Raw genomic sequence first — 9,845 nt, 5'->3', positions numbered from 1 at the left:
AATTGCTTGAATCCCGGAGGGAGAGGTTGGAGTGAGCGGAGATTGTGCCACTGCACTCTAGCCTGAGTGACAGAGTGAGACTCCATCTCAGAAACAAACAAACAAACAAACAAACAAACAAAGATTAAGCACCACAATTACAGTATTGTATTATTCTGTATTTATTTACCTTTACCAGTGAGATTTATACTTCCATAAGCTTTTGTGTTGCTATTTAGTGTCCTTTCATTTCAATTTGAAGAACTGTCTGTAGGATTTACTGTAAGGCAGGTCTAGTGGTGACAAACTCTCTCTCAGTTTTGTTTGGGAAAGAAAGCGTTTATCTTGCCTTCATTTTTAAAGGACAGTTTTTTTGTTTGTTTGTTTTTGTTTTACTTTCAGCACTTTGAAAATGTCATCCCACTTTCTCTCCTAGCCCACAGTTTCTGCTGAAAGTCTGCTGACAGTCTTACAGAGGTTGACCTGTATGTGAAGAGTCGGTTTTCTCTTACTGTTTTCAAAATTCTCTTTATCTTTGACTTTTGACAATTTACATACAGATAGTCCCTGACTTATAATGGTTTTACTTATAATGTTTTAACTTTAGATGGTGCAAAAGCAATATGCTATGCATTTAGTGGAAACAATACTTCAAATTTTGAAATTTGATTTTTTCCTGGGCTAGTGATATGTGGTGGGATACACACTCCTGATGCTGGGCAGTGGCAACAAGCTGCAGCTCCCAGCTAGGCACTCAGTCATGAGAGCAAACAGCCAATACCCTGCAGTTTTGACTTATCATATTTTCAACTTACCACGGGGTTCCTGGGACATAAGCCCATCATAAGTTGAGGAGCATCTGTATAATGTGTCTCAGTACAGACCTCTTTAGGGTCAACATATTTGGCACCCTTTAGGCTTTATAAATATGTATGCGAGAATTTCCTGCTTGAGGGTGTCCAGTAAGTCCCACAGGCTGGCTTTCTTCACTCTTTTGAATTCTTCTGTTTGTTTTCTCCTCTGATTGTTAACTTAAAATGACCTGTCTTTGAGTTTGCTGATTCTTTCTTTTACTTAGTCTAGTCTGCCCTTGATGCTCTTCCAATCCTGCAGAGTTGAGCTGGCTGCTGAGATCCACTCCAGGTGCTGAGATCTGTGTTTTGCCTGCAGGGGAGTATGGGGTGTCATCTGTAGGGGCTTGTGAGGTAGTGACTGCAGAGGTGCATGTGGGCTGACTTCTGGGGTCTGTGGGTAGGCCAGTTGGCTGGTGTGGTCTACAGATAGGCTGGCTGGTGTGTGGAGGGGTCCACAGCTGGGACAGCTGGCAGGCCAGCTTGTGGGGTCTTTGGGCTGGTTGTTGGCATATGCATGCCAGTTGCTGTGAGCACCAGCCCCTTTTCTTTATTCTTAGTTGACCCCAGGCAATCGAGCCATGCCAATTTCCTCAATGTTCTGGGCGAGGTGCTAGAGAGGAGAAATGGGCCTCCTGGGATGCGTCCTGAAAGGCTGGGGAAGCTGGATGCTCACTTTGCTCTCTCTTTCCCTCATGGGAAAAATTGTAGGCCAAGAGCATCTTTCAGTGCTTAGCTGTGCCAGCTTGGGGAAGGGGTGTTGTGGGTGAAGTGAAACTACTCTTCTTACCCTTTCCATTGGGACTGTTCTTGTATTTTGTGCTTCACCAGGGTGCTGGGACCTTTCAACTGGATTCTGGAACTCTCCTAAAAATATTTTTACCCGTGGATGCTTGTTAAATCCATGTGTCTGTGAGGAGACAAGGGCCAGGACCTCTTATTCTGGTATCTTGCTGTTGTCACTCTTCTTTATAAGGAGAAATCCATCTGTCAGAGGGTTTGGAGAGCTGAATCCTCTGGTTTCCCTATTCTGTTTGGGGAAGTGTACCTGGCAGACCTCTTCGGCTGCCTAGTGAGTGTGGAATCAGAGCCAGAGAGCAGGTGATTTGGTTTGAATGCTTACTAACTTCAGGCACTGGTGCACTTATCTCCTATCTCCATAGTGAGGTGAGCCTGCCACTGAGACTGGAGAATTACAATTCATCCTCAGACAGATCTGATTTTCTTCTAGATTCCTATGGGTTTCCATGGGTGTCCTTTTCCCATTCTAAACAAAAGAGTTTCTACTTATTTATGCTAATTTCAGAGGGGCTGCCTTTACTTTCTTCATATTTCACATTTATCTGTAGACAGTCTGGTCCTAGGTAAATGGTGTTTCCTGTACAATTGTTCCAGCTTCTCAGCACCCCGTGAAGGACTCTTTGGGGTTTCATTGAATTCATGTCTACTTATTGGTAGCTTTTCCTTTTCTGGGGATTGGTTTTTGGTTTCCCCGCCCACCCCCCTTTTTTTTCCCCTAGCATCTCATATGCTGCTCAGTCTGTAGGAAGGCACTACAAAAGGCCTTAGCTGGAGATTTTGCTGTTCTGCTCTAGAAAGGGGCTGTGACACCAGCATGAGTGATTTTAGGGTGCAAATTCGCAGGTCCTGGAACTGATGTACTTTTAGGCTCATTTTTTTTAACATGAAAATATGAAATTTTAAATACAAAATTAGGTATAAAATGAATATCTATTTAGAAAGGGCCTAGGTCAGTGAGGGGCCCGAAGCTTAGCTTCCTGAAGTACAGAGAAACTTGGCTGCTGGCAAGGTGGGGTGGGTTTGGGCTCCGGAGGACCCAGGATTATGGATCATGGACTCTCACAAAGAAGACTTAAAAGGTTCTTATGCCTAAACTTAAAAGTCTCTAATTGATAACACTTACACAGATAATTCATGCACATGCTCTCATACATATAAATGAAGAAACAATGCAGAAGAGCATAGAGCGAAAGGGGAAATGCTCTTCTAATCATGATCGCCCGACCTGCTTTCTCCCATAAATAATCCCTATGAACAATTCAGGGTGTCTCTCCCAGGCATTTTTCTTAACCTCTAAATATGTATGTGTACATTTGCCTCATTATTTTAAAATGATGCACAATAATCTATAATATGTCTGCTCGAAGTTTATTTGGACAAACACTTACTGATAAGTATTCAGGTTTATTTCAGTCGGTTGCTTTTACATGGCGGCAGTTACCATCGTTTTACCTACATTTTTCTGCACATATGGGCATATGGGGATATTTCCATGACATAGACAACTGGAAATTTCTCACTAGGTAAAAAAGTGTGAAGATTAAAATTTTGATAGATTTAATGTTGTCCTTTGAAAAGACTACCATAATTTACACTCCTATCAATCATATAATAGTACATCTTTTATATGTTCCTATCGGTATAACTTTTCAGCAATATAATGGGTAAAATATATTTTTGGGTTTTTTGAATTTTTTTTGATATGGATGTGCTTCATTGCTAATAAAGTTTGACATCTTTTTTTATATGATTACTGTTTTATTTATATATCTTCTCTGTGAATTATCTGCTGATATTCATTGCTTTATTTTCTTTTGAATTGTTGGTCCTTTAGAATGTGTCGGTGCTCTTCCATACTGTAGATGTTATCCATGCTGTGTATCCTTTCTGCCTTTCTGCAAGTTAGCTTTAAACTTTGTTTATGGTGCCTTTGGTCATAACATTTTTATATTTATGTGACCAAACTTGTCAATCTTTTTCTTATTTCATCTGGGTTTTTTTTTTTTTTTGCTGGTGAAGGGAGAGTAACACTTATGAAGCACTTTTCCATCCCTAGATTTAAAAAATGCTTCTTATATATTTATTTCAATAATTTTATAATAAAATTTCATGAATCCATTTAAAATTTATTTTTAAATATTTTAAAATTATAATTTAAAATATTTACAATAATATTTTAAAATTATTTAAAATATTTTATACTTTATACTGTTTATATATTGTATAATATTTATTATAATTTAAATTATTTTAAAAATAATTTCTAAGTCTTTCTATCACTTTTTGAAAGGTTGGTATTTTTTCAGTGATTAGAAACATTTACTGTTCTGGTTATCTATTGCTGCAGAACATATACCGCTAGACTTAGTGGCACAGAACAATCACAACTTGATTCTGCTCGTGAACTCTGAAGTCTGGGAATTTAGGCAGAATGGGGATTATCTGGCTCTGCTCTACCATGTCTGGGGCCTCAGCTAGGAAGACTTGAGTGGCTGGGGTGGTGTGAACAGTGGGGGACTGGGATCATCTAAGGGTTTTTCACTGACGTGTTTGGGTACCTGGGCTGGGATGACTCAAAAGTTGGGCTCAGCTGGGAACAGTCCTTGGAGTGCCTAACTTGGCATCTATATGGCTTGGGCTTCCTCACAGTATGGAGGCCTCAGGGTGGTCTGAATTGTTCATGAAAGCTTAGGACACCAAGAGCTAGTGTTGCAACAGAACAGGGAAGAACCTGCATGGCCTTTTGTGACCTCACCATGGAAGTCAGACATGTCACTTCCATTGGTGGACGGTCACATGTCCACCCAGATTCAAACAGAGGGGACATAAACCTCACTTCTCAATGGGAGAAATGTCAAATAATTTGTGGATATGTTTTAAAGCTGCTTCAGCCTCCCTTATCACATATTAAATTTCCATTTATAATGGATCTGTTTCTAGACTCTAACATGTCCCAGTGGTCTATTTGTTTAACCCCGCTCCAACATCACCTGCCATCCTACAGACTTTTCTTCTCGGTTATGACAATATTTTAAAATTTCTAAAATAAAACTTTGGTTAGAAAGTAATATTACCTGTAAGCAATGATTTTTTTTGTGTGTCCATTGGGGGTTCATGGAGTTTTTAGGGTGGGTACACATGATATTATGCGCTGACATCTTGTAATTATATCTCTACTTCTTAGAGGAGAATTTCAGCACCTGTTGAGTTCATCTACCTCACCCCTGACCATTTTATAGGGCAAAGAAGCCCATGCAAAGACATTAAGTGGTTTGGCCATGGTCCCTAGCATGTTGGAGGCAGGGCTGGCCCCGGAACCCAGGTCTCCTGACTGCAGCATGGTGCCCTGCCTATCAGGCTGGCTGGATTCTTCACACCCCAGCCTTCGTTGGTTACATTGTGCTCACTATTGATGGTTGCCTGTGGCCGTTGACAAGGGTTTTGGTTACCTGTATGTATGATGCTGACAGTAAACTGTGGAGCAAACGCGCCTCCTGCACGGTGAGACAGCCCCCAGGTAGAAACGGCGTCTTGGCTGGTGCCCCACACTGCACGGTTACTTCAACCTTCATGCACTGAGCACTGCACCAACTGCCAGAAGAATGTATTGGCCATTTTCATCATTTCTACACTGGATGCTGGGTTTGGGATTTAGAGATCAGCTGTGGAGTAGGCTGACCTCTTACCAATGCCCTGGGAAAATGCGGTTCAAATTAATCGTCATTCCCTGGGCTGTTGGGAGCTGCTTGCAGGGAATATCTCCCTGGAGGTCTCTTTTTTGCTTTGCCCTGAACTTTAAGACCCTCAGAACTTTCTGTAAGAGGCTGGCCTTTTAGAGCTGAGAGGGACTTCTGTAACCTAAACTAGGTTAACCAGACTTGGATATTTGGCAGACATTTTCTTGAAAATAAATGAAGTAAGCCTGTGGCTTCAGGAAAAATAACTGATAGTATCTGTTGCCATACAATTAGACCTTTCGTGTGAAAATTAAAATTTTAGAAAACTTGTATCCATTGCTGTGAGCTTGATAGCTTCCTAACACCTCCGGACTTTTCTGATGGAATTCATGATCATATTAATGCACTGGCTGTGTAATGAAATGTGTTGACGTTTGATAGATCACACGTCAGTGAATCAATATTTGCCAAATGACCAATACATTTATTGCAAAATCATGAGTGGGTAAACAAATGATCTATTCAAAGTGCAGGATAGCTAATAGATTTTAATGTAGTCATATAAAAAAAATAGGTGAGATGGGTTCTCATTCAACAGTGCAGCTAACCTATGAGAAACTATCATGATTTGAATTTTGGTATAGTATGGAAGAGGAATAGCCACAATTGTCTGAAAAGTCTATTACAGACATGTCCCTCTTTTCTAGCTACATATTTGTTTCGGGCTGAATTTTCTTCACATGCCTCAGCTAAAGTGATCTAATGGCCCAGGCTGAGGGCAGAAGCAGATCTGACAACCTGGCTGTTTTCTAAGTCAGACACCCAGGAGCTTTGAACAGGCATAAATTATTGCCATTCTTCTCACTGATATTTTTGTTTTGAAAAGTATAGTGGCTGGGGCACGGTGGCTCACGCTTGTAATCCCAGCACTTTGGGAGGCCGAGGCAGATGGATTACTTGAGGTCAGTAGTTCGAGACCAGCCTGGCCAACATGATGAAACCCTGTCTTTACTAAAAACACAAAAATTAGCTGGGCATGGTTGTGGGCGCCTGTAACCCCAGCTACTGGAGAGGCTGAGGCAGGAGAATCGCTTGAAACCGTGAGGCAGAGGTTGCAGTGAGCTGACATTGGGCCACTGCCACTCCAGCCTGGGTGACAGAGCAAGACTCTGTCTCAAAAAAAAAAAAAAAAAAAAAAAAAGAAAGAAAGAAAATGTAGTTATTTTTCTTAAAATATGAAATTTATGTTTACATGTCATGAATTATTGTTATTTTTGATACAAGTTGATACATATTTTAAAATTTTCTCAGTTTTAATTTGTAAAACAGCAAATGCCATCAAATCTAAACTCACATGAACAAAAGCTTTTGAGGATGCTGAATAATTTTTAAGAGGGCAAAGTGGTCCTGAGGCCAAAAAATCTGAGAGAGGCTGCTTTTCAGAAAAACCTACCTTAGTTTAAACAGTTAAGAGACCTCTGCACAGGCACCTGGTTGGTGAGGCCTATGCCAGGTGCAAGGGCGGCCCCCCGGCTGTTACCTGTGAGCTTTCACCAGGTCTGACTTCTGCCTTTTAGGCAAATGACCTGGATCCTGTGGGGCATGACTCGGAGACCACTGGGCATGTCTCCTCTTCGGCGTGCTATTTAAAAGCAAATGAAATGGTACCAGCGTGTATTTCTGAACGAGTGTGAAAAGAGAACGTCAGAATAGAAAGTTCAACGGTAACTGTGCAATGAGTAATGTGGGTGTTCTCTAATGGGGACCAGGAAAAGGGAAACTTGTCGGGAAGACGGGGTGTATGCTGATGTCAGGAGGTCTTGTGTGAGGCTGCTGAGGCCCTCCCAGATCTGCTTCACATCCGCTTCTCACATCTGCATCTGAGGCCCCGCTGTCTCACCCCCGAGTGTGGAAAAGGGGGACTCGGCTGCACCCTCCCTGTGCTCGCCCCCATTGTTCTCTACACCCTCTGTGCGTGTGCTGCTGAGTTTATAGTCCGGGATTGTGGGTGGAAAGACAGCTTTGTATTTCTGAATGTTAAGAAGATAGAGTAAAGCCACTTCAGTGTATTCTTTTTTTTTTCCCGCAAAGGTATATCCATGGACAATTTTCACCTTTGTCTTTCCTGGGATTATGTGTATATGCCCTCTGTCCCCACCCTGTTCTGGATTCAGAGATGAATTGGACTTGTCAAGAAAGTGCTCAAAGTCTCGTTGGGAACTAGATAGAAAGATCGAAAACTACACAGGGGTCTGAGGGGATGTGATGAGTCATCTTCCAGACAGTGACTGCAGTGGGCGTCTAGAGAGGGCTGTGCCCTGACGGTGGTGTGGTGGGGTAGTGAGAACGGATCCGGGGAGAAGGAGATTTGGGGGAGGGAGAAAGTAGTCACATGGGGCTGCATAGAAGCAGGTGTTCAGAGGGAAGGGAATTGAGAACTGCTCCCCAGGAGAGCTGGAAGGCTAAGTCCAGGTGACCCATACGGAGTCACCAGGTAGTGAAGACAAGAGCAGGGTGCAGGCATGGGGAGGCAAACCCAGATGATTTTCTGAGCAGTTGGCTTGTGGTCATGAGTGTTTTGATTTCACTGATCCCGCTGAACACACACTGCCTCTTGCCAAGTCCAGCCTTGAAGAGTTGGAGTCATCTGGAAAAATTCATAATTAAGGGAGGGCATGAACTTGACCTTGAAGGGCCACCAGGATTTGGGTAAGAAGAATGGGAAAAGCATTTGAGGGTTAGGAAAGGGGTAGATGAAGGCTTAGAAGTGGGAAGGTGCCAGGCATGTGGACCGGGGGACTGGAGCCAGGGGGTGGTGTGGGGAGTGGGCCGGGCTGTGAAGCTGAAGGCCCTGCAGGCCAGACTCAAGCATGGTCCTTGCCTGTTGGCTGTGGGAGCCACGGATGGTCTTTGAACAGCAATTAGGACTGTATGACAGGGCCCTTATCATGACACCTGGGAGTGACTGAAGGAGCAGTGGAAACGCCAGGACCATTAGGGTTTCTCTTCATTGAGGGCAGTCAAAGAGAAAAGGAGAGATGAAAAAAATCACTGCTTTAGAGGAATTGGGGGCTGACTGGAATCGTATGGCAAGGGAGCGGAGGAGTGAGGGATGGTGCCAAGTTTTCGGCCTGACACCAGCGAAATACAAATACGCTTGTGTTTCTTTACATAGCCGAGCGCGCAGATGATCTTTAAGACGTGCTCGTCTGATTTGGCACTTGGATTCTGGGAGGAACAGGAGGAAGAAATCTCTCAGACTGGGAATCAAGTTTTAGCTCCCCTTGGGGCTATTATTATTACCTAAGGAACACAGTCAGGCTCCTGGGTGAAGAATCAAACTAAGGACAGTGGTGTCTGTGACCTGGGCTCCTCCATGGGCCCGTGTGGCCGGCAGCCTCTAGGACTGCCTGGTGACCCCCACTGCTGTTGTCACAGCCTCTCATCGTGCCCATCCCTGGAGCGTGGGCTGGATCTCAGGACTTGCTTCTCGTGGATAGACCACAGACTACAGCAAAGGTGACAATATGCCGCTTCCGTGATGAGGCCACATGTCTTGCTCACTGTCACTCATGCCTTTGCTTGGTCACTCACCCTGAAGGAAGTCACTGGCCTCGGGACAGGCCCCCATGTAAGGAATCGAGGTCTCCAGCCAACAGCTATGTGAGTGAGCTTGGAACCAAATCCTACCCCAAGCAGGCCCCGAGATGACCACAGGTTGTCAGCTTGATTGCAGCTTGTGAGATGCCCGGAGCCAGGGGGACCAGCTGGCCACTCCCAGGTCCCCGGCCCACAGGGACTATGACATAATCTACTTGTGTTGCGTTAGGCTGCTGAACTTGGGGAAATTCATTGCACAGCTATAGATAGCCGACACATCCAAACTCTCCTGGTGGTGTTGAAGAGCACTGGCCCCGAAGCCAGATGCCTGTGTGCAAATCCTGGCTCTGCCATTTACAAGCTGCACAACCTTAAGTAAATTAGTTGGTTCTATGTGCCTCAGTCCCTTCACCTGTAAAATGGGAATAAGAATAACGCCTGTGTCATGAGGTGACTGTGAGGATTAAATAAGGTAGCCCCTGCACATCGCTTGGCATCGTGTTAGCACTCAGTCAGTATCAGCTCCCATCCCCACGATTACTATTGTCTACCCTTGAAGGCCAGCCAAGGGCCCATCCCACCTATAGCTTCTTCTTACTGCCCCAGCACCTGCTGGCCTCTCCTTGGCACTGTACACTCTGGTTCTCCATTAAAAACTCTTGAATTTGTTCTCTGAGGGTCTCAGATGTGTCACCTCTTCTCTTCCCAACTGTGTTAGTCCATTTTGCATTGCTGTAAGGGAAGACCTGATGCTGGGTAATTTACAAAGAAAAGAGGTGTATTTGGCTTACCGTTCTGCTGGCTGTACAAGCATGGGAGCTGGCATATCTGCTTTAGGCAAGAACATCAGGAAGCTGCCACTCATGGCAGAAGGTGAAGGGGAGCAGGTGCGTCACATGGTGAGACAGGGAACAAGAGAGCGGGGAAGGCCCTAGCT

The sequence above is a fragment of the Homo sapiens genome, chromosome 2 (genome assembly GCF_000001405.40).
Source record: "Homo sapiens chromosome 2, GRCh38.p14 Primary Assembly".
Classification (NCBI taxonomy): domain Eukaryota; kingdom Metazoa; phylum Chordata; class Mammalia; order Primates; family Hominidae; genus Homo; species Homo sapiens.
The sequence above is the reverse complement of the archived record's forward strand: the minus strand, read 5'-3'. Positions refer to the sequence as shown.